Here is a 26639-nt window from a genome sequence, read left to right as displayed (position 1 = left end):
TGCTTCGACTTTTCGTACAGTGAGTAAGGTCACGGCTAACAGGAGAGCTAAGTTCTAAAGACATCACGGAAAGCAAAAATTGTGTCCAAGTTGCCCTTGTGAAGCCCTGGGAGGGGGGCACCATGGTGGAAATCAGCACAACATCTCTCATAAGTCCAACCCTGAAAAGGCTGCTCCTGCACTGAGATGAAGGGCAGCTGCCCCACAGACCTACCCAAGGCAGGGAAGCAGGAACTGTTATGGTTGGAGAGAGGAGCAAACTCAAAACTCAAGCTGGAACGTACTTTCACTGAGAGGAATAGAGGGTAAAATGACCTATACCATCTCAATGTTCTCCTCTCCCTTCCCCACCCTGGCTCCTGGAGTGTGCCCAGCTGCATTATTATTATTATTTTTTTGCCCCCGGTCACCCAGGCTGGAGTGCAGTGGTGCCATCTCAGCTCATTGCAACCTCTGCTTCCCAGGCTCAAGTGATCCTCCCACCTCAGCCTCCCGAGTAGCTGGGACTAGAGGCGCTTGCTGCCACGCCTGGCTAATTTTTGTATGTTTTTTTAGAGACGGAGTTTTGACATGTTGCCCAGGCTAGTCTCAAACTCCTGAGCTCAAGCAATCCATCTGCCTCAGCCGCCCAAAGTGCTGGGATTACAGGCACAGCCACTGCGCCTGGCCCCCTGGCTGTATTCTTGTTAGGTTAAAAGCACTTACACTACAACTTGGCTGTACTCCCACTGGCTTCAAGATGAAGTCCAGACTCATAAGTGTTCCACAATCTGGTTTCTCTCCCTTTCTCCTTCCCTGTCTCTCACTGTGTTCTCCTGACTGCCTCCTTCATTCCAGACACCTGCAGATCTTCATGGGAGTCCTGTTCTCCATACTTCTGCTCACATTTTCCCTCTGCTTGGAATGCGTGAGTCCTCATTCCTCTCAACACCACCTCTTGGAAGCTGCTCCAGAGCCCTGGAGTAACCCACCTAGCACTCACTGTGTGGTACCACTATCTCCCAGCCTCTTGCTCTGCTCACAGCAGGAGAGCAGGGCTCACATACTGCTCACTTCTGCAGCCCAGTGCCTAGCACTTGCCTGGCTTGAACAAGAAAGGAGGGCACATTCCATCCCAGACAAGAATGAATCAAGAGAGCTCAATGATAACCAAAGCAGTTTACCTCTGCTTGGAGCCACTATGCCTTTGCCAACCAAATTCAGACCCTGGTTTCCACTAGCACTTAACTGATTGTATCTTCCCTCACATTGTCCCTGGCTCTGAAGAGTGAACATCCAAAGGTCTGGATAAATCCCATATAACTGAACCACAGGTTTGTTATCTAAGTATCAATGAACATTTCTCTGATGGTTCCTGTGAGAACAGCTATGGGCCCAAAAGTACAACGAAGGTTTCTTTAATGGAGGATTCGGCCAAAAGGCTATTTTGAGAGGCCAGGGGTCCTCTGAGAAATAACCCAACCTAAGAGGCTGAGAGCTTCGGTCCAAAGGCATTGTTTCTGAGGTTCAGAAAATCTTCTCACCCAGTCTCCAGATCTCATGTCTGAATTCCAGAGAGACGGCATTGCAATAAAGACTGAAATAGCCCTGATAACAACAAGGCATCAGGATAAGAGACAGGGCTACCTTGCTGTTTATATAGTATAGTCAATTGCATTATGGGTCCCAAGTCTTCACCTCCTCCTTATACTCAGGCCCTTTGCTGTGTGGCTTTGTAATTCCTCTCACTAACTTCCTGTCCCTTGACTTTGGGTTTGGCCATGTGACTTGCTGTGGCCAATAGAATAAGGCTGGAGGAAAAGTGCACCAGTTCTGAGCCCAGGCCTTAAGAGTCATTGCACATTTCTGCATGCCTTCTTGTACCTCTGTTATGCTGTGAGAATATGCCCAGGCTTGTCCACTGGTTCCAAAGAAAAAATGAAAGACACAGGGAGTAGAGCTGAATGGTGTCACCCAAGCCTAGAACCTACCCTCTGCTGAACCCAGATGCATGGACAAATCAGCCAAGGTCCAGCTGAGTCCAGCCTGGGCCAGCTGACCTGAAAATCCATGGGAATCAGTGATTGCTGTTCATATCATCGAGTTTTGGGGTGACTTTTTTATTCAGCCTTTTTTGTGGCAATTGGTAGCTGATACATATGGGGGGACTGGGTCCTGGCCACCACACTAGTTGTTCAAGCATTATTGATTACTGGGCCCACAGAGGATAACTAGCTCTGACCACACTTGAAAGGCCAGACTGGGGCAGTGGAGGCAGCTTTAGCCACCAGGTGCTATACTGAGCCTTGAATTTTACATCTTAATATAAGAAAAGCACAATTCAATAGAGATGGATTTGATCATCCACTAATGGGTAGCAAAAGCATTAGGACTTTGCTAACTTAATACCTGACCTTGGAGCAAGTGAACATTTTCCCACCACATGAAGTTTTTCTACGATCCAAAATAAATTTCCAGCATTTCCAGTCTGCCTCAAGACAAAACAAATCCATATATTTTTGTTTCTTGTTATTTTTTCCCTAAAACACTTTGTGGAAGGCCTATTTAAAATTAAAATTAATGAGCTGCAAATTTATGAAACTTCTTTAAAGTCAGTTCCTCTAATAATCCCAGGAGGTCCTTCGTACTAATGTGAAACAATTCTAATATCCATGCCATGAGTTTTAAGTAATTTTGTAAGCTTGGCAAAACGTGTGCTATTTTAATCTACCACTATTGCCCTAAGTAAAAGTAATGCTAATTAATATTTAAGTGGTTTGGAGGACTATTTGTGTGTGTGTGTGTGCGTGTGTGTGTGTGTGTGTGTTACATCATCTTCCTCCAGTAAACTCAAACTGAAGAAAAGGAATCTTAGTATTACTTTCCTTTGATGAATGAAAGATCATGTGCCATCATAAGTTAAAATGTACTAGTGTACGTCCATACAGAAACCCCATCTGAAAGTCACCAACATAAAGACCAAAGGTAGATAAATCCATGAAGATGAGGAAAAACTAGCACAAAAAGGTTGAAAATTCCAAAAATCAGAATGCCTCTTCTCCTCCAAAGGATCACAACTCCTCACCAGCAAGGGAACAAAACTGGATGGAGAATGAGTCTGATGAATTGACAGAAGTAAGCTTCAGAAGGTGGGTAATAACAAACTCCTCTGAGCTAAAGGAGCATGTTCTAACCCAATTCAAGGATGCTAAGAACCTTGAAAACAGGCTACAGAAATTGCAAACTAAAATAACCAGTTTAGAGAAGAACATAAATGACCCAATGGAGCTGACAAACACAGCACGAGAACTTCATGAAGCATACACAAGTATCAACAGCCAAATCGATCAAGCAGAAGAAAGGATATCAGAGACTGAAAATCAACTTAATGAAATAAAGCATGAGGACAAGATTAGAGAAAAAAGAATGAAAAGAAATGAACAAAGCCTCCAAGAAATAATGGGACTAAGTGAAAAGACCAAACCTACATTTGATTGGTGTATCTGAAAGTGATGAGGAGAATGGAACCAAGTTGGAAAACACTCTTCAGGATATTATCCAGGAGAACTTCCCCAACCTAGAAAGACAGGCTAACATTCAAATTCAGGAAATACAGAGAACACTACAGAGATACTCCTCAGGAAGACCAACCTCAAGACACATAATCATCAGATTCACCAAGGTTGAAATGAAGGAAAAAATGTTAAGGGCAGCCAGAGAGAAAGGTTGGGTTACCCACAAAGGGAAGCCCATCAGACTAACAGTGAATCTTTCCGCAGAAACCCTACAAGCCAGCAGAGAGTGGGGGCCAATATTCAACATTCTTTAAGAATTTTCAAACCAGAATTTCATATCCAGCCAAACTAAGCTTCATAAGCGAAGAAGAAACTTTTTTACAGAGAAGCAAATGCTCTGAGATTTTGTCACCACCAGGCCTGCCTTACAAGAGCTCCCGAAGGAAGCACTAAACATGGAAAGGAAAAACCAGTACCAGCCACTGCAAAAACACGCCAAATTGTAAAGACCATCAACACTATGAAGAAGCTGCATCAATTAATGGGCAAAATAATTGGCTAGCATCATAATGAAAGGGTCAAATTCACACATAACAATATTAACCTTAAATGTAAATGGGCTAAATGACCCAATTAAAAGACACAGACTGGCAAATTGGATGAAGAGTCAAGACCCATCAGTGTGCTGTATTCAGGAGACCCATTTCATGTGCAAAGACACGTATAGGCTCAAAATAAAGGGATGGTAGAATATTTACCAAGCAAATGGAAAGCAAAAGAGAGTAGGGGTTGCAATCCTAGTCTCTGATAAAACAGACTTTAAATCAACAAAGATCAAAAAAACATAAAGAATGGCATTACATAATGGTGAAGGGATCATGCAACAAGAAGAGCTAACTATCATCAATATATATGCACCCAATACAGGAGCACACAGATTCATAAAGCAAGTTCTTAGAGACCTACAAAGAGACTTAGACTCCCACACAATAATAGTGGGAGACTTTAACACTCCACTGTCAAATATTAGATCATGAGACAGAAAACTAACAAGGATATTCAGAACTTGAACTCAGTTCTGGACCAAGCAGACCTAATAGACATCTACAGAACTTTCCACCCCAAATCAGCAGAATATACATTCTTCTCAGTACCTCATCACACTTATTCTAAAATTGACCATGTAATTGGAAGTAAAACACTCCTCAGCAAATGCAAAAGAACAGAAATCATAACAGTCTCTCAGACCACAGTGAAATCAAATTAGAACTCAAGATTAAGAAACTCACTCAAAACTGCACAACTACATGGAAACTGAACAATGGCCTCCTGAATGACTACTGGGTAAATAATGAAATTAAGGCAGAAATAAATAAGTTCTTTGAAACCAATGAGAACAAAGACACAACATACCAGAATTGCTGGGACACACCTAAAGCAGTGTTTAGAGGAAAATTTATAGCACTAAATGCCCACAGGAGAAAGCAGGAAAGATCTAAAATTGACACCCTAACTTCATAATTAAAAGAACTAGAGAAGTAAGAGCAAACAAATTCAAAAGCTAGCAGAAGACAAGAAATAATTAAGATCAGAACAGAACTGAAGGAGATAGAGACATGAAAAACCCTTCAAAAAAAAAATAAACAAATCCAGGAGCTGGTTTTTTTTTTTGAAAAGATCAACAAAAGAGACCACTAGCCACACTAATAAAGAAGAAAACAGAGAATCAAACAGAAACAACAAAAAATGATAAAGGGGATATTACCACCAATCCTACAGAAATACAAACTACCATCAGAGAATACTATAAACACTTCTATGCAAATAAACTAGAAAATCTAGAAGAAATGGATAAATTCCTGGACACATACACCCTCCCAAAACTAAACCAGGAAGAAGTCGAATCCCTGAGTAGACCAAAAACGAGTTCTAAAATTGAGGTAGTAATTAATAGCCTACCAACCAAAAAAAGCCCAGGACCAGGCGGATTCACAACTGAATTCTACCAGAGGTACAAAGAGGATCTGGTATCATTCCTTCTGAAACTATTCCATTCAATAGAACAAGAGGGACTCCTCCCTAACTCATTTTATGAGGCCAGCATCATCTGATACCAAAACCTGGCAGAGACACAACGAAAAAGGAAAATTTCATGTCAATATCCCTGATGAACATCAATGCTAAAATCCTCAATAAAATACTGGCAAACTGAATCCAGCCGCACATCAAAAAGTTTATCCACCACAATCAAGTCGGCTTCATCCCTGGGATGCAAGGCTGGTTCAACATATGCAAATCAATAAACATAATCCATCACATAAACAGAACCAATGAAAAAAAAACACATGATTATCTCAATAGATGCAGAAAAGGGCTTCAACAAAATTCAACACCCCTTCATGCTAAAAACTCTCAATAAACCAGGTATTGATGGAACATATCTCAAAAAAAAAGAGCTGTTTATGACAAACCCACAGCCAATATCATACTGAATGGGCAAAAGCTGGAAGCATTCCCTCTGAAAACTGGCACAAGACAAGGATGCCCTCGCTCATCACTCCTATTCAACATAGTATTGGAAGTTCTGGCCAGGGCAATCAGGCAAGAGAAGGAAAAAAAGGGTATTCAAATAGGAAAAGAGGAAGTCAAATTGTCTCTGTTTGCAGACAACATGATTGTATATTTAGAAAACCCCATAGTCTCAGCCCAAAATCTCCTTAAGCTGATAAGCAACTTCAGCAGTCTCAGGATACAAAATCAATGTGCAAAAATCACAAGCATTCCTGTACACCAAAAACAGACAAACAGAGAGCCAAATCATGAGTGAACTCCCATTCACAATTGCTACAAACAGAATAAAATACCTAGGAATCCAACTTACAAGAGATGTGAAGGACCTCTTCAAGAGAACTACAAACCACTGCTCAAGGAAATAAGGGAGGACACAAACAAATGAAAAAACAGTCTGTGCTCATGGAAACAAAGAATCAATATCGTGAAAATGGCCATACTGCTCAAAGTAATTTATAGAGTCAATGCAATCCCCATCAAGCTATAACTGACTTTCTTCATGGAATTAGAAAAAACTACTTTAAATTTCATATGGAACCAAAAAAGAATCCCTATAGCCAAGGCAATCCTAAGCCAAAAGAACAAAGCTGGAGGCATCATGCTACCTGACTTCAAACTATACTACAAGGCCACAGTAACCAAAACAGCATGGTACTGGTACCAAAACAGAGATATAGACCAATGGAACAGAACAGAGGCCTAGAAATAACACCACACATCTACAACCATCTGATCTTTGACAAACCTGACAAAAACAAGCAATGGGGAAAGGATTCCCTACTTAATAAATGGTGTTGGGAAAACTGGTTAGCCATATGCAGAAAACTGAAACTGGACCCTTTCCTTACACTTTATACAAAAATTAACTCAAGATGGATTAAAGAGTTAAACGTAAGACCTAAAACCATAAAAACTCTAGAAGAAAACCTAGGCAATACCATTCAGGACATAGGCATGGGCAAAGACTTCATGACTAAAACACCAAAAGCAATGGCAACAAAAGCCAGAATTGATAAATGGGATCTAACTAAACTAAAGAGCTTCTGCACAGCAAAAGAAACTATCATCAGAGTGAACAGGCAACCTACAGAATGGGAGAAAATTTTTGCAATCTATCCATCTGACAAAGGGCTAATATCCAGAATCTACAAAGAACTAAAACAAATTTACAAGAAAAAAAACAACCCCATCAAAAAGTAGGCGAAAGATATGAACAGACACTTCTCAAAAGAAGACATTTATGCGGCCAACAAATATAAGAAAAAATGCTCATCATCATTGGTCATTACAGAAATGCAAATCAAAACCACAATGAGATACCATGTCACGCCAGTTAGAATGGCAATCATTAAAAAGTCAAGAAAACAACAGGTGCTGGAGAGGATGTGGAGAAATAAGAATGCTTTTACACTGTTGGTGGGAGTGTAAATTAGTTCAACTATTGTGGAAAACAGTGTGGCAATTCCTCAAGGATTTAGAACCAGAAATACCATTTGACCCAGCCATCCCATTACTGGGTATACATACCCAAAGGATTATGAATCATTCTACTATAAAGACACATGCACACATATGTTTATTGCAGCACTCTTTACAATAGCAAAGACTTAGAACCAACCCAAATGCCCATCAATGATAGACTGGATAAAGAAAATGTGGCACAGATACACCATAGAACACTATGCAGCCATAAAAAAGGATGAGTTCATGTCCTTTGCAGGGACATGGATGAAGGTGTAAACCATTATTCTCAGCAAATTAACACAAGAACAGAAAACCAAATGCTGCATGTTCTTAGTCATAAGTGGGAGTTGAACAATGACAACACAGGGACACAGGGAGGGGAATATCACACACCGGGGCCTGTCAGGGGTGGGGGGTTAGGGGAGGGATAGCATTAGGAGAAATACCTAATGTAGATGACAGGTTGATGGGTGCAGCAAACCACCATGGCATGTGTATACCTATGTAACAAACCTGCACGTTCAGCACATGTATCCTGGAACTTAAAGTATAACAATAAAAAAAATGTCCTAGTGTAGGCACTGGTTCATAATAGTATATTCATGTCATTTCATCCAAACTTAACTCTCATAGTTTTAAGTAAGGGATACACTATGCATTTTGAAAAATAACTACCAAAACTAGTGACTGTTTTTCAGAAATGGTAATAAAACTAATAGAGGGGTTTCTGGCCCCAAGGCTAAAACAGTCTTTCAGAAGGAACTGTTTCAAAAGGAAGCCATTCTGTGAAATGAGGCTAAATGATCAGGACCAGCACCTTCATCCTAAATGAAGTCTAAAATAAAAGGTTGGCAAAGAGGAAACAGAAGGCCGCTGTACGGTTCACCTTTAGCCTTGGGGGATTCATGCAGTGCGGGAGGAAACCCTGAAACAATAAGGAGACTATCTGCTCACTTGGATCAGGGCAGCCTGCCCCTCTCCTTCAGCCCTCTCCTGCCACAGAAATGTTACTTGTTAAAACATACACTAGTGTGTGTGTGTGTGTGTGTGTGTGTGTGTGTGTGTGTGTGGAGGCAGGAGGGCATAAACCTTTATTTAATAATAGGATGAATCATACATATGAAATTGTCCAAAAGTTCAAATATTGGCAATTTCATATGATTCAACTTAATACAATCAGCAAGCATAAAATAGCCACCCCTCAAATACTCATAGAAATTAGAAATACAAGCTACATTGTGAGATATGTGGAATTGCAATCAACACACAAAAAAACCTAAACAATCTTCCCAACAAAGCTTTTGTTATAATTATTTTGTAACATACATTTTTTTAAAACCACAGAATATTACTGTAACCCATCAACTCTGTTTATCCTCTTCAGTGGGGAAATCTGCACATTCAGGTTTGGGACCTGGGGTCAAGAAAAAGGAGCCTGAGAACAATGCTCTGAAGGAAACACCGACATACCTGGAGAGCAGCAGTTTACCCTGAAGCTGCAGGTCTGCGGCACAGTCCTCTGAACGGCAATTCCTTTCAAAAACAGTCTGTGAGAAAGACAGGAGAGGAAGGTTAGGGCAGGATTGAGTGGCAAACGAGTACACAGTGGCCAATTCCTTTCTTGCAAATCAGTGGGAATTCCTCCCCTGAGCCCCTCAGGGCTTCTACTCCCACCTCCAAAAAGCCAGCTCTCCAGCGTGGGAAGGGGTTCTTCCAAGCTCCAAGGAAGCCTAAGTCAACTGTGGTTTTGATTTTGTCAGTGCATTACTTATTTGATTCATTCCCTAGTCTACTGAAGTGCTTCTCCAAGCAGTTTTTTCAAGAGAGGTACGTGGTGGTGGATGTCCTTTCAGTCTTTGCTTGTGTGAGACTGTCTTTCAGATGCTCTTAGATGAATGATAATCCAGTTGAGTAAAGAACTCTCAGATTATAGTTTGGTCATTTCCCCCTATTTGCTCTGCCTTGGGGATGCAGGAAATTTATATATGAAATAGGTTCTGCCTGAGCAATGGGACTGTATTGAATTGTCAGTATTAACAGGAAAAGGCAAAGGCAATTAGGCCATCAGGCTGAGGGAATCACAACAGACTGGGGGAGATTCTTTCCAGTTTGTTGGTGGGGCAGCCAGCAGTTAACAGGGACACAGTGCCTTTTCTCTAACCAAGACTGGGCCTCAACAGCCAAAGCCCCACCCAGCCCTTACTGGGGCCAAGTCTTGGCATGTCAAAACCCAAATATTTCCAGAGAGCTTGCTGGCTGTGCCTGGGCCTGGGCCTATCTGTGGAGGCTTGCCAGGAGATCAGCAGCAGCATTTGGAGAGGGGTTAGGGCTTTCTTCTACGGTCCATGGAGGGCTTGTTAGTCTTCCCCTCAATCTGTCTCAACCTCTCTGACATTTCAGATCTATGGACAGTAGCTTCCCCAAGTTCCAGATGACAGAGACTCTTCACTACTGTTAGATGGCTTTGCTCATTTCAGTGGAATTTGGAGAGAAGAGCCTGTTGACAACTTTTAGTTGTAATTTACTCATTATTAAACTTCTTCCTTGTCACTGCTCATGTTCGTGAGTTTTTTCCCCAAAATGTAGTTCCAGGTTATTTCTTCCCTGCCCAGAGAATAAGTCCAGGCAGCACCTCAGAGTGTCAGTGTGGGCGCCAGCAAACGTGCTGGCCAACGAACAGTCTAGACTCGACCAGACAGAGTAATTTCGCCTATGAAAATTCATATTCCCCTGCCACATTTCCAAAAGAAAAAAGTGTCCCAGCCAACACTCCCTTCCTTGATTATCAGGGAAAATATCATGGAAGTCTTGGGAAAAAAGAGGAAATTCCTGTGTTCTTTTGGACACTACTGGGGTCAAGGAGAGAGCCAAATTTCCAGGAGATTTCAATATATTTGCTCTTTCTTTGCCATCTTAACTAAGAAGAAAACAGGAGGAAGTGGGTGTAAGGATGGCATGAACGTCTCAGGCAAGATGAAAGGTGGGCTTTATGAGCTTTGAGGACAGAGGGAAGGTGCCAAAGGGAGCTTCCCCACCACACTAGTGAAACTTCAGCTTAGAGGTCCCCAGCTGACATGGCCCCTAGGGAAGCCTTGCACAAACTTTGTCTTCATAATTTCACCTTTTTTTTTTTTCCTTCAAGACCCCACCCTCTACTATATAAGCCTCAGGTCTCACAAAACCTGGACTGGCCCCTAGTGTACAGTCCCCTCATCACACATGCCTTTCCTGTCTCACAGGCAAGACAGTCCAACTTTGTGAGGCATGGAGAGGTGAAGGGGTAGAGGTGGAGGTGGAGATGGAGGTGAAAGAGGTGAGAACGGAAGAACAGGATGTGACCTAAATCCATCTGGTGACATGCAGGCTGCCAGATCTGGCATGTGCCCTCCTCACCTCTGTCACCCTGGCTTTCTCATGCCAGCTATCACTCTGGTTGTCCTTACAACTTCCCACCCAGGGCCTCCCCACAAGTGGATCCCCAGATTCCTCCAGCTGGTTCACCTAGTACATGTCCTCTCACCCTTCAACAAGCAAATCCAGACCACTTCTCTGAGTCCCTGGGCAAGTTCAGGCCCATCGTGAGCTCTCACAGTTCCACACACTTTTCCCTCCTACTGCTCATCTCAATCATAACTAATCAATTTTATCATTACATGTTCAATGGTAGTCTCCCCTGCTAAAATGATGTCCCAAGAGGATTGCAGGGGGCACTGTACTGGTCTTGCTTGCCTCTGTGCCTGCCCTTAGGGCCTGGCATGTAGTTGCTGCTTTATCAACACCGAAAGACCACACATTGCTCTGAGAGACAGAGTGACCACTCAAATGGGGAGCCAAATGGTGGATGCCCCAGCTTAGAGCCAATACCAGCACACTGTTCATCAAAACCAAAGCTCCAGGCCCCTAACCAAAGTACTGTCTCTTAGCCATGTGAGATGCAAAGACTTCTCACGAGGAATTGGTTGCTTTGTAAAGACTCATTTTCCTTGTCCTAACTTTTCCTTGAACTCTACTATTTCCTGTCCCTGAAACTGGCTTTTCTAGCTGTCTAGTCCTCCAGTGCTGCTGAATTTCCATCCAACAAAGGCAAGCACTGAGTTTGACATATACACACACACAGTGCGTGTGTGTATATGCACACATGCACATGTACACAAATATCCCTACAGGTTATATGAGTGCTTGTACTGATAAGATAAAATTAAGCACAATCATGGAAAGATAAAATACTAGTTAAGAAATAAGGAAATTCAAAGTGTAATCCTATTTTAATTGTATTACATTAAGAAAATTGACTTTTCTTCCCTCCAGGACTCAGTTTCCTCATTTATAAAATGAAAATAATAGCACTCGTCACTGTCCCATAAATCCAGATTAGCATTTAGCCAGGGGTAGGAGCTTGCAGTGATAGCAATTTTGTCTTAGGCACTGTGCATCACTATTTAACATTGGCAAATGAGAGCGACAACAGTGTGACTGAGTGAACACCATGAAGCTTAATTAATGGATGGTGGGGCTGGGTGTGGATGGTGGGGCCAGGCATGGTGGCTCACACCTGTAATCCCAGCACTTTGGGAGGCTGAGGCGGGTGATCACCTGAAGTCAGGAGTTTGAGACCAGCCTGGCCAACTTGGTGAAACCCTGTCTCTACTAAAAATGCAAAAATTAGCCGGGTGTGGTGGTGGGTGCCTGTAATCCCAGCTACTTGGGAGGCTGAGGCAGGAGAATTGCTTGAACCCAGGAGAGAGAGGGTGCAGTGAGCCGAGACCAACCATTGCACTCCAGCCTGGGCAATAAGAACAAAACTCCATCTCAAAACAAACAAACAAACAAACATTAATGGATGGTGAAATAAGGAGACAAAGAATTGATGTGAATTTACCTCTGTGCAGGTAAATTATTTTCCAAAAATCAATGCAACAATATCTCGATGATGGCACTCCTTACAATGTGACTTTGAAACTACTCCCATAGAGAGGTGGGGTCTAATGCTCCCTTACCTGGAATCTGGGTGGACTTTTGGCTACAGTGGAAGTGACACTATGTGACTTCTGAGACTAGGTCATAAAAAGCAATAGAGCTTCCTCCTAATTTTCTTGGGGCATTTGTTCTTAGAATTTAGCCACTCTGCAAGAAACACAAGCTGTCCATGCAGAGGCTCACAGGAGACACTGACTGCCACATCAACTTGCAGGCTACGTGAGTCACCATGACAGTGAAAACCTCAGAGATGTCCTCCAATCCCATTGAGTTGCCCCAGCTGATAGACATTATATGGAACAGAGAGCTGTGTTGATCAAGCTCTGCCAAATTGCAAATTCACAAATGAATTCACAAACAATTTTCCCATTTTCTTGCTGTTACTGATTTCTAGTTTCATTCCATTGTGGTTGGAAAAGATACTTGGTATGATTTCGATCTGAAATTTGCTAAGATTTGTTTTGTGACCTAATATGTGATCTATCCTGGAGAATGTTCCATGGCTACTTGAGAAAAATGAATGTTCTTCCACTGTTGGCTGAACAGTTCTGTATATGCCAGCTAGGTCCATTTGTTACACAGGTCCAGTTGTTCAAGTCTACTGCTTCTTTACTGATTTTCTGTCTAGATGTCCTATCCATTATTGAGAGTGGGGTACTGAAATCTCCTATTATTATAGTGCTATCAATTTCTCCTTGCAGATCTGTCAGTGTTGTATATACTTAGGTGCTCTGATGCTGGGTGCATTTATAATTGTTATGTCTTCCTGTTGAATTGACCCTTTGTCATTAAGAAATGACCTTTGTCTCTAGAGACAGTTTTTGAATTAAAGTCTATTTTGTTGATATAAGTATTAACCACTCCTGCTCTCTTTTGGTTGGTATTTGCATGGACTACCTTTTTCCATCTCTCTGTGTGTCCTTGAATCTAAAAGTGAGCTTCTTGTAGACAGCATACAGTTTGATCCTGGTTGTTGTTGTTTTTTTTAATAATCTATTCAGTCATGCTGTATCTTTTTATTGGGAAGGTTAGTCTTTTTACATTTAAAGTAAATATAGAGACAGATTTACTATTGCCATTTTGGTGACTATTTTCTATGTGTCTTGTTCTTTTGTCCCTCTTTTTCTCCCTTGCGGTTTTCTTTTGTTTTGTTTCTTTTTTTTTTTTGTATCGATAGGTTTTGATTCCTTTCTTTTTTTATATATATAACTTCCATAGGTATTTTCTTGGTGGTTACCAGGAGCTTACACGAAATAATTTGTAACAGTCTGTTATAAGTTCACAATGTAACTTTACTTGCATAAAAACTCTGATTTTCCCTCTGCTCCCCCCAAGTTACATGCTATTGATGCCTCAGTTTATATCTATTTATATTATGTACCCATTAACATAATTTAGTTAATACTTATAATGGTTTTTAAAATACTTTTGTCTTTTAACTTTCTTCATAGACATAAAAGCTATTTACTCATCACCTTTATAGTAATATAGTGTTCTGATTTTGTCCATATACTTACCTTTACCAACGAGTTTCCTTCTTTATTATGCTCTCTTGTGCTATTTAGTGTCCTTTCATTTCAACTTGAGAAGCACAGGTTTACTGGGTATAGTATTGTTGGCTAGTAGGGTTTTTAAATTTTATTTTATTAATTTATTAGAGACAGGGTCTCACTCTGTCACCCAGGCTGCAGTGCAGTGGCATCATCTTGGCTCACTGCAGCCTCTACCTCCTGGGCTCAAGCGATCCTCCTACCTCAGCCTCCCAAGTAGCTGGAACTACAGCCACATGCCACCATGCCTGGATAATTTTCTGTTTATTTTTTGTAAAGACAAGGTCTCATTATGTTGCCCAGGCTAGTCTCAAACTCCTAGGCTCAAGTGATCTTCCTGCTTCAGCCTCCCAAAGTGTTGTGATTACAGGTATGAGGCACTGTTTCCATCAATACTTTGAATATATCACCCCACTCTCTTCTGACCTGCAAGGTTTCTGCTGAAATATCCACATCACTAATCATCAGGGAAATTCAAATCGAAGTCACAATGAAATATCACCTCACAACAGTTAGGATGGCTACTATAAAAACGACAAGAGATAAAAAGTGTTAGTGAGGGCATGGAGAAAAGGGAACCCTTATACATTGTTGGTAGGAATGTAAATTGGTACAGCCATTATGAAAAAAGTATGGAGGTTCCTCAAAAAAAATAAAAATAGAACTACTATATGACCCTGCAATTCCTCTTCTGGGTATATACTCAAAGAGAATGAAATCAGTACCTCATAGAAATATTTGCATTTCCATGTTCATTGCAGCATTATTCACAACAGCTAAGACATGGAATCAACCTAAGTGTTTGTCAACAGGTGAATGGATAAAGAAATTGTGGTGTGTATATATGTATATATACTACACACACACACATATATATATACACATATATAAACATACAATGGAATATTATTCAGCCTTTAAAAAGGAGATCCTGCCATTTTTGATAACATGGATGAAACTGGAGGACATTATGCTAAGTGAAACAAGTCACAAAAAGAAAGAAAAATATTGTATGATCTCACTTATTGCGGAATCTAAACAAGTTAAATACACAGAACCAGAAAGTGAAACTCTGATAGTTACCAGGGGTCGGGGAGGGGGTAGGGAGTAGGGAATGGGGAGATGTTGGTCAAAGGTACAAAGTTTTGGTTAGGTAGCATGAAAAAATTTAGAGATTGAATGTATAGCGTGATGACTATGTTGACAATATTGTATTATATACTGGAAATTTGACAATAAAGTAGATTCCAAGTGCTCTTACTATCAAAAAAAAAAAAAAACTATGTTAGGCAATGGATATGTTCATTTGCTTGACCATAGTAGCCATTTCACTATGTAAATGTACATCAAAACATCATTTTATATACCTTACATACATTAAAAAACAATGAAATCAAATTCATGAACAAAATAAATGTTATTTTAAGCTACTAAATTTCAGAGTTTGTTATGCAGCAATAGAATACCAGAATACTCAGCCAACCTAATGGCCTTCCCTAACTTGGGCAATGCTATTAACAAAAATGGGCTGCACAATCCAATCCCTGCCAAAGTCTTGGCTTAGGTAAGACCTTCCATAGGCTAGGAATGCAATTGTTTAATAGGTAAAAAAACAATACACCATGGAATCAAGAGACCTGAGTCACGCACTGGGGAGCCTGAGGTTGAAACTCAGTGCCTGTGTTCTAGTCCTGGATTAGTCTCTTTGGGCAAATGGCCAATTTGTTTCCTAAGGAACTGAAAGGCATCTCTCTGGAGCAGGAGGGTGGACAGACTAAAGCCTTGGAATACTAGATGACAATGCAGTTTCAAAAACCAAGTAGAAATGACTTCTCCTTGGTACAAAGTACAGGTTCTCCATGAAGCCAATGGCCCAAACTCCTGATTTTCCTCTGAGGGAACAATCCCAATAGCTCCAGCTTGGGCCTTTAAAAAAAGGCCTCAGCCTGATTTTATCCACATCCTCCTAAGTCCTCTGGCAAACACAAGCTTGGCTGCTTCAATCAGACAAATCGGAACCCAGCTTGGAAGCAGTCTCTTCCACCTCCCTCCAGACTTCACCTGCTAGTTGGCCAAAGCCCTGTCTAGTTATTTCCCTGGAAGAAGTTTTTCCAGCAAATGTAAACAGATCTAAGAAGCCATCATCTCTTATTCCTCCCTAGTTAAAGGAGGTTCAAACCTTTCTCTCGGGAGACAACTGTTTCCTGTCTCAGGCTTCAGAGAGCTGAAGACTGGACATCCAGTGGCCTCCTCAGCCTCATGGACTCGATTTCTCTGCTGGCTCCTTCCTCACCTTGGTCTTCATCTCAGGTTTCCCTGGAGAATACAGTTGTCTTTGAAAATATTTTCTCCAGCTTCTCACTAAATCCTTACTCTACTTCTTTTAGAACAAGGCTGGCAACTTTTTCTGAAAAGGGTGAGACAGTATATGTTTTGGGCTTGTAGGCTATATGGTCTCAGTCACACTACTCAACTCTGCTGTTGTAGAGCAAAAGCAGCCATAGATAATACATAAGGGAATGGGCATAGATGTGTTCCAATAAAACTTTATTTACAAAAACAGGCAGTGGTGGATTTGGCCTATGGGCTGTTTGTTGAATCCTGTTTTAGAATATTTGGCTATGTTTCTTCATTTCCTTCAGGCCAGGAAAAAAAAGATTTCAATGAATCCAGCTCAAGTTGCATTTTCCTCTGAGTCAGAGTAAGGACGCTGGGGCTGGCTGTGCTTCTCTTACAGTGCCATGGTCACCAAGGCCAGGGCAGCTTTGGGGACATGTGATTCAGAAATAGCAGCTCAGTGTCCGCTCCTGGCTGAGGGTGACTTCAGAGAGGATGTCATCTAGGTGCTAAGGCCTTGGGAAGGGTAGCTCATTTCTCCCACCCAAATCTGTACCAGAAAATCTTCACTTCTGATCTAACAGGAAATAGGATTCTTAGCCTAGTCCAGCTATCATGTTCAGAGGAGGATCAGTTTCTTGGACTTGGTGATATTTGCTTTTAAAAAATACAATTATTGACATGGATTCAACACTGTTTATAGGGTTGATATGACAACCAAATCCCATGCTGAGGCCTAAAAAAAGTAGAAGAATTGGACTGAATAATCCCACACCAAGAAGAGCAAACAAGAAGGCTATTTTTAAGCTGATTTGATCAATGCATTTTTTTTTTGAGATGAGTCTTGTTCTGTCGCCCAAGCTGGAGTGCAGTGGCACGATCTTGGCTAACTGCAACCTCTACCTCCTGGGTTCAAGTCTCGTGCCTCAGCCTCCTGAGTAGCTAGGATTACAGGCACGTACCACCATGCCCCGCTAATTTTTGTGTTTTTAGTAGAGATGGGGTTTCCCCGTGTTGCCAGGCTGGTCTCTAATTCCTGATCTCAAGTGATCTGCCCGTCTCAGCCTCCCAAACTGCTGGGATTACACGCGTGAGCCACCGTGCCTGGCCTAGCAATATATTTCTTGATATGCGGTATGACTTAGCAGAAGGTCTCTGCCCCTATGGTGAAGCATCCTGTCTGGATGACAGGAGTGACATTTCTGAACTGGTGTTCCTTCTATAGCCCCACACAAGTTTCCAGAGGCCCTAATCATGTAATTCATGTTTATAACCCCCAGCACCTAGCACAGTATTTAAATTTTTTTTTGTATTCATATAAATACCATGACCTGAGTGTAAGAGGTTTCTCCCTCCCAATTCTGTTTCAATGGGCTGTTTTCCCAGAATCCAAAACTGCCCTTCATGTGGCACGTTATAAGAGTGCAGGAATTTCAGCTCCATTCAGCCCCATGCCTAAACGAAGGAAGGAAAAGGCTCATTGCCTCTTAAAATCAAGGCATACACTGTTGCTTTCTAAAACATTCATATCCTCAAGAATCAATGAAAGGCAAATCGTTCATGAAATTAAAGCTGAGGAATCCTTCTATCTCAGGGTCTGTACAAATTGTCCTTCCAGATTTTGAAACCATGGAAGGATAAAAAAACCCTCTTGGTTTCCCTTTAAATACAAACCCGGCACCAATTTTGCTTTATGGTCCTGTGGAAAAACTAGAAATGACAAGTTCTGCTATCTTGGGTGTTTTTTTTACTCCATGGCTCTGCAGTTTGCAGAATTATCCCCTCTGCCCAAAGGCAACATTTTTAAAAACATGGTATATATTCATGGGATACAAGTGCAGTTTTGCCACATTGATATATTCTGTCATGGCAAAGTCAGGGCCTTTGGTGCATCCATCACTGGGCCAATGCACATTGCACCCAACAAGCAACCTCCCATCATCCACCCAGCTCCAACTTCCCCACCCCTCCATTGTCCATCATCCCACAATCTGCTTCTATGTGGACACATTATTTAGCTCCCACTTATAAACGAGAACATGTGGTATTTGTCTTTCTGTGTCTGAGTTGTTTCACTTAAGATAATGGACTCCAGTTCCATCCATCTAAAGGCATCATTTAGGCAATCCAGTTCAACCCCTGTGATAACTGAGCAGGGCTGACTGCTTGGTGAGGCCCTGGCCCCATGGGACTCCCAGCCCAGTGCTCTTCCTGGATCTGCCTGGGACTAGGTGGCCTTTTATGGGACACATTTCATGTCTCTCTATAATCACAACTTTTCATTTCAGCTCAAAACTCTCTTCTAGGGACTTTTGCACCCCAGGACTAGAAATTCTCCTTTTTCACCCTGGAATTTTTTGTGTTCTATGTTTCATTTTTCTTTTTTAGTTGCTGTTAATTAGTCAGAAGAGGCAGAAAACAGCTAGGAAGTTCAAATAAAGGGGCTGGTGCTGTCAGAGAAAAGAAAAAAGGATGCCAGCCACGTTTCTAAAAGCTGCTAAACCAGACATGGGCAGGCAACTGGGAGTGAGAAAAAAAATGCCTTAAAACCAGAGAGGATCCCAGCAAGACTTCTCCCCATCTATCTGCAAGAACATCCCCTAAATAAGGCTCCAGGTATAAGTGCACACAGCAAGGGCCTTGTACTTGATTTCCTAAATTATCTCATAAGATAAGAAAAGAGAGGCTAACGTTTCCTCCCCAGCCAGACACTGTCCACCGGGTGTGTTTAAACACCTCTCACCCCACACATACTTTTGCACAAGGTTTTCAATAGGACAGGATAATACAGAAGAAAACTCAATAAGCTTGAAGAGTTTGAGGAAACCATGATTTTCTTCTAAAAAGGGTTTCAGAAGCCTAGAATGCATTTTCCCCCCACAAATTGCAAAAATAAAACATAACACTGAAAAAGAAGTTTTGCAAATTCAACAGGTCACTTCAGGACATGGTCTAACCTTTGATGAGTCCCCTCTCCTTTCCCGTTGGGGTTAACCTTGGAGAAGAAGCCTGAGACAGACAGATAAGGCCAGACTTCTCCACTGGTCAGTGAGAAGGGTGAATTAGTTGTTTTTCTCACACATACTTCAAACTAGATGGTTTTCACATGTGTTCTGCCATGGTGCCCTCTTTGAAAAGAGTATTTACCCAGAAGCTGATACCCATAAGAGTAGGGTTGATCTGGGTCAAACAACATTGGAGGGCAGGAGCCTTTTCCTCTAACACCCCTTTCCCCTCCTGCTGAGCCAAACTGCTGCCCTGACTCCAAGTGTGCAATCTGAAATCCCCCAGTTTGCACGGTCTCAGGAGCCTGTCTGGTTCTGACGTCTGGAGTGACTCTTCTCCCTCTCCTCTTCTACTCTCCCACCCTCTTAGCCTTCCATTCCTTCTGCAGAGACGTTTAAATATAATAATGAAAATAAACCTTAGAGCTGTAAATAATGGCATGTTAAGCCAGCTGGGCACCTCAGCCGGGAAACTATTACCTAATGTCCAGGCTGTGCAAACAGTGGATTTCCATAGCATGAGCTATATTCCTATATGCATGCATTGAGGGGTGTGGGGTGGGAGGAGCTGTAGTGACGATTTCCAGCACAATGGAGACCCAAAGTGTATGGCTTCAACATAGTTAAAAATTACCATTAGACTAAAATAGCTCACTTTTCACTTGAAAGACAACAAAGTAAGACTTCTCAACAAAGCCGACACCTTTTCTTTCACCAGCTGTATATCCTCCATCTTGTCTTTTGAAAAGTAGTCACTACAAACATACCGTGGTATAGATATGTCACTGCAAATCACACATCATGCTCTCTTGCCCGTGGGGAATTCCCAGAGGGATTACAGAACACATTTCTTTTAATTTTATAGCTCTGCTGAATCTGCTAGTGAAGAAGCTCTGATATGATGCCCAATTTTTGCCAAAGGAACTAGCCTTGTGTTCTTCCAGAAGGGCTCTTTCAACTATTTACTATTTACTAAGCATCCACTATAGGCCAGGTTCTCTGCCAGGTGTTGCGGATCAATAGCAAATAAGATAAAATAGATCCCTTCCCTCACTGGGCTTCCATTCTAGAGAGGTAAATACAATAACAAGTAGACGAAATAACACGTTCTGTTAGATGTCACGAAGGAATCAAATAGGCAGCTAAGGCCATGCACGGTGGCTCATGCCTGTAATCCCAGCACTTAGGGAGGCTGAGGCAGGAGGATTCCTTGAGCCTAGGAGTTCAAGACCAGCCTGGGCAACATGGGGAAACCCTGTGTCCAGAAAAAAAAATTTTTTTTTTTAAATAGCCAGGCGTGGTGGCACACACCAGTGGTCCCAGCTACTTGGGAGGCTGAGGTGGGAGGATCACTTGAGCCTGGAAAGTCGAGGCTGCAGTGAGCCATGATCACACCACTGCACTCCAGCCTAAGTGACAGAATGAGACCCTGTGTCAAAACAAAGAAAGGCAGCTGAGTCAGGAAATACAGGGTAGTGGGAGAATGGTTCTTTGAGGAGGCAACATTTAGGCTGAGACCTAAAAAATGAAGAGCTGGCCACGGGAAAAGCATGGCAAAGTGCTTTCTAGATGAGGTATCAGCATATGCAAAGGGCCTGAGGCAGGCAGAGGCCTGGTAAGTTTGAGGGTGGTGGGAATGCAGTATGCGGGTGGCGCTGGCGAGGCAGGAGCCCCACTGTACAGGCTCTCGTGGGCCTTAGCATGTGTCCGGATTTTCTTCTGAGGGGGAAGGGAGCTCCTCAGCGGGAGGAGGTTATGCAGGGATGTGACCTGGTCTAGGTGACAAATGATGGTGGCCTGGCCTAGGGAATGGCAGCAGAGATGGAGAAAAGAGAAGGGACTCATGCTATCTGGGCTCATGGTGGTGCGGCTGGCTCCCGAGTTCTGGTTATATGGGTCCTCCCCAGATCTTCTCCCTCTGCGACAGACTAACAGGCATCTTTGGGCCTGACACGTGAGGGCCAGACACCCTAAAGATCCAGAGAGGTTCATCTGAGAGCCTGCCAGAACCCTTAGACCAGTGTTCTCCAACCTTTATGGCACCAGGGACCAGTTTTGTGAAAGATAATTTTTCCATGAACGGGCGGTGGAGGGGGCGGGATGGTTTCGGCACAATCTAGATCCCTCACATGTGTAGGGTTCATGTTCCTGTGAGAATCTAATGCCTCTGCTCATCTGACAGGAGGGGCGCTCAGGCGGTAACACTCGCTGGCCCGCTGCCCACCTCATGCTGTGTGGCCGGACTGGTACTGATCCAGGAGTTGGGGACTCCTGCCTAAGATGGTGCCATTGCGTCCCACCGGGGAGCCCACCCACGGGCCTGCAGAGACGGGACCCCCCTCAGAGGAAAGGATGTGGAAAGGCAGCAGAGCACCTGCTTCCTCAGAGCCCAGGTCAGACCTGCTCCCATGACGGCCTCATCCTCTCCTCACAACACCAGGAAGCCGGCTTCCCAGGAAGGGAACAGCAGGATCCAGTGCTGCCTCATCATTTCCGGGCTTCTCACATTTCCCTCATGTAATCCCACCACCACCCAGAGGCAGGCAGAGCAGCCGATGGCACCCCCAGTGACAGGTGAGGAAACAGGCTCTAAAGGGTGAGTGCTCTGGGCCAGGGCCCTGATCTCACTGCACAGCCTGTGCTCCTTCCCCAGAGAGCCCAGGGAGGAAAGAAGCCCCGGGGTTCTGGAGGTGTGGGCTGTATTGTGTGTCTATTATTTTCTATTGCTGCAGTAATAAGTTACCGGAGTTCAGCTGCTCAAAATAACACAAATCTATTATCTCACAGTTCTGTAAGTCAGAGGTCGGTGGGTTGTCTGGGTCTGCTCCAGGTTCTACAGGCCGAAATCAAGGTGTCAGCTGGTCTGGACGATTATCTAGAGGCCCTGGGGGAGAATCCACTTCCAGCTTTGTTCGGGTTTTTGGAAGCACCTGGTTCTGTGTGGTTGTAGGACTGAGGCCCCGTTTCCTTGCAGACAGTCACCTGGAAGCCTCTCCCAGCCCCTTAAGGTTGTCCACATTCTCGTCACATCACATACTCCATCTTCAACATCAGCAAAGGCATGCTTCAAGTCTCTCTGACCTCCTATTCCGCCTCATTCCTCCCACCTCCAGCTGGAGGAAGTTTGCTGCTATTAAGGGCTCGTGTGACTAGATTGGACCCACCTGGAAAATCCAGGCTCCTCTCCCCATTTGGAAGTCCATCACCTTAATTACAACTGCAAAGTCCCTTTTGCCATGTAACGTATCCAAATCACAGGCTCCAGAAATTAGGGCATGGACATCTTTGGGGGGCCATTCTGCCTACCGCAGTGAAAGACCTGGAAGCCCTGCTGTAGCCAGGTCTCTTTGGGGGCCTGCTGATGAAGCCTGAGAAGAGTTATAATTTTCAGAGCGCTATTCTGTGTACAGGGATTGAAGACAGGGCCTCTGTCATCACCATTGGTATGCTCAGCTGAGGAGGAGGGATAAAGGACCTTCAGGTGACCAGTCCAAGGACAGCATTGCTCCCTTCCCAGCACACGGACCAGCCAGGACTTCCCATGATTGTTTCATTTAGTTCCATACCCTCTGTTTCAGCAGCTGAGACCAACTAGCAATTAATTAGGAGTCAACTCTCTGGGGGGTATCACACAGACTCCCCAGGGACTCACCTGCAAAGGCCCCTGCAACAAGCTCTTTCTTAACTGGCCTCCCCATACCCAGGCACACCAATCTCCCTGAGGCACATCTACGATCTCCCCAAACTGCAAAATATGCCATGGTCTGTCCACCGTAGAATCACATCCAACTCCTCAGCCAGTGAACAAGTGGCTTCAGACTGCATGACTGAATCTCCAGTCCAGATGGCCTCTCCCCTTTCCCTCACTAGATATTCAGCCACGTGAGAGACCTTTAGCATCCATCAGCCCCTCCATTCCCTGAGGACCCAAATCCTACTCCACCTTTAAGGCTCTGGCCAATTCTCCTTTTCTCCATAGAACATCTTCTCCTCAGCCAGAAGTGGCCTCTGCAGTGAAATTCTTACACACTAATCTAAATCTCACTTTGTAAATTATTCCTGGACTGTCTGTGACTCCAATGAAGGCAGCAATGATTTATTTTTTCATCGAGGTCTTACATAAAGTAGACACACAATTGAATTGCTTCCAGCTTTATAGTCTTTTAAAATACTCCTCTGGTTAATGAAAAAAAGGTTGTCTTTTTCCTGCTATCAAATATGCCTCCCTTTCTGATGAGACAGATGCAGGTCTTTGCTTTCCTTAAATTTTGAAGGTGCAATGTGTGCCCATCAGGCTGTATGTACGGAGGCTTGTAGCATTCAAGCTCCACCGTCCCCAGAGCGCCCAGAATCCCAATCCAATCTCAGCATTAGCAGCAATCCCACTATTCACTCACCAGAGCCTAGTGCCAAAGCCCTATCCTGGAACCCGTCTTCTCCCAGGACTATGTACCCTATAGAGGGAAGGCTTGGTCTCCTGCCTGTCCTGCACATTCCTAACTCATAGCAAAAAGCCTCAGATTAATCAGTAAGCCTGTACTTAACATGTACTGGTCACTATCTCCATGTTACACACACAGTCTGTGCAGCGATTCCACTTTAATTAGGCCATCAGTGGGGGCAGACCCCAACTCTAAAAGGTCATCATGATTTGATCCACCCTTCTGTATAGTCCTGGGTACCAACATGGGCTCAGTGAAGAGATCAAGGCATTTAAAGTAGTGGAACCCTAATGTTATCTGGCAACATGACCTAGAGAGTTCTGATGAATTTATTCCTTCCTATGAAAGAGGTGAGATGCTCTGTGTCAAACTGTTGTGTATATATACACAGGTTAAAGATCAGCTCTGCTTCCTGCAGTGGGCCTCACTCTCAGAATCTTTCCTCCTCCTCAAACTGAGCCAACATCTGGAAGATTATCTTTTTTTTTTTTTTTTTTTCCCCATAATCAGGAAAAGGACAATAAGAAAGAACTGCTCTCCCAGAACTTCTCTCAGGCTCCTGGACAATCTTCCCAATCTAAGAACAATTTTTTCTTTTATTTTAATTTCAACCAAAGAATCACATGGTTAGAAAAATAATAACCCCCTGCCACATACCTCGCCATACTGAGTCCTCCTCTCCAGGGGCAACCATTATTACTCATTATTACCCACGTCCGTTTATGTTTCTTTTGATGATTATTTCCATATCTCTAGAAAACATGCTGATACTACTACTCGTTGATTTATCAGATCTAGACATTATTTTACTAAATTCCTTCCATGATAGACAGGAATTTATCTCACATAACGATCCCCACTCCTTCACCTCCATAATTTTGATGGGCAAATTATTAGTTTAACTCCTCTACTGTATCAGTTCTCATACTTTAGCTGCATGAGAATCACCCAGCCATCTTGTTAAAACACGGATTGCTGGCCGGGCACGGTGGCTCACACCTGTAATCCCAACACTTTGGGAGGTCAAGGCGGACAGATCACCTGAGGTCAGGAGTTCAAGACCAGCCTGGCCAACATAGTGAAAACTTGTCTCTACTAAACATACAAAAATTGGCCAGGCATAGTGGCGTGCACCTGTAATCCTAGCTACTCAGGAGGCTGAGGCAGGAGAATCACTTGAACCTGGGAGGTGGAGGTTACAGTGGGCCGAGTTCCTGTCACTGCACTCCAGCCTGTGTGACAGAGGATTCTTTGTCTCAAAACACAAAAACAAAAACAAAAACAAAAACATAGTTTGCTGGGGCCCACCCCATCAGCTTCTGATTCAGTGGGTCTGGGGTGGGCCCAAGAATTTTCTCAAATTGTCCCTCTTTGCAGATGACATGATTGTATATGTAGAAAACCCCTTCGTCTCAGCCCCATATCTCCTCAAGCTGATAAGCAACTTCAGCAAACTCTCAGGATACAAAATCAATGTACAAAAATCACAAGCATTCTTATACACCAATAACAGACAAACAGAGAGCCAAATCATGAGTGAACTCCCATTCACAATTGCTTCAAAGAGAATAAAATACCTAGGAATCCAACTTACAAGGGATGTGAAGGACCTCCTCAAGGAGAACTACAAACCACTGCTCAATGAAATAAAAGAGGATACAAACAAACGGAAGAACATTCCATGCTCGTAGGTAGGAAGAATCAATATCGTGAAAATGGCCATACTGCCCAAGGTAATTTATAGATTCAATGCCATCCCCATCAAGCTACCAATGACTTTCTTCACAGAATTGGAAAAAACTACTTTCAAGTTCATATGGAACCAAAAAAGAGCCCGCATCGCCAAGTCAATCCTAAGCCAAAAGAACAAAGCTGGAGGCGTCACGCTACCTGACTTTAAATTATACTACAAGGCTACAGTAACCAAAACAGCATGGTACTGGTACCAAAACAGAGATATAGACCAATGGAACAGAACAGAGCCCTCAGAAATAACGCCGCATATCTACAACTATCTGATCTTTGACAAACCTGACAAAAACAAGCAATGGGGAAAGGATTCCCTATTTAATAAATGGTGCTGGGAAAACTGGCTAGCCATATGTAGAAAGCTGAAACTGGATCCCTTCCTTACACCTTATACAAAAATTAATTCAAGATGGATTAAAGACTTAAATGTTAGACCTAAAACCATAAAAACCCTAGAAGAAAACCTAGGCAATACCATTCAGGACATAGGCATGGGCAAGGACTTCATGTCTAAATCACCAAAAGCAATGGCAACATAAGCCAAAATTGATAAATGGGATCTAATTAAACTAAAGAGCTTATGCACAGCAAAAGAAACTACCATCAGAGTGAACAGGCAACCTACAGAATGGGAGAAAATTTCTGCAACCTACTCATCTGACAAAGGGCTAATATCCAGAATCTACAATGAACTCAAACAAATTTACAAGAAAAAAACAAACAACCCCATCAAAAAGTGGGTGAGGGATATGAACAGACATTTCTCAAAAGAAGACATTTATGCAGCCAAAAAACACATGAAGAAATGCTCATCATCAGTGGCCATCAGAGAAATGCAAATCAAAACCACAATGAGATACCATCTCACACCAGTTAGAATGGTGATCATTAAAAAGTCAGGAAACAACAGGTGCTGGAGAGGATGTGGAGAAATAGGAAGACTTTTACACTGTTGGTGGGACTGTCAACTAGTTCAACCATTGTGGAAGTCAATATGGCGATTCCTCAGGGATCTAGAACCAGAAATGCCATTTGACCCAGCCATCCCAT

The 26639-nt window shown here is 42.9% G+C and overlaps 1 protein-coding gene across 1 annotated transcript in view; it reads right to left on the bottom strand.

The window, feature by feature from the left end:
* The window catches only part of ITGA9 (integrin subunit alpha 9), a 371367-nt gene that overhangs the window by 160718 nt on the left and 184010 nt on the right, over positions 1-26639 (bottom strand). Inside the window, exon 17 of the mRNA NM_002207.3 lies at positions 9000-9076. Coding sequence (NP_002198.2) covers positions 9000-9076 — 77 coding nt within the window. The remainder of the gene's footprint in view (positions 1-8999; positions 9077-26639) is intronic.

This window comes from Homo sapiens, chromosome 3 (assembly GCF_000001405.40).
Source record: "Homo sapiens chromosome 3, GRCh38.p14 Primary Assembly".
Classification (NCBI taxonomy): domain Eukaryota; kingdom Metazoa; phylum Chordata; class Mammalia; order Primates; family Hominidae; genus Homo; species Homo sapiens.
Note: the sequence above shows the minus strand (reverse complement) of the source record. Positions and strands in the feature narration are given on the sequence as shown.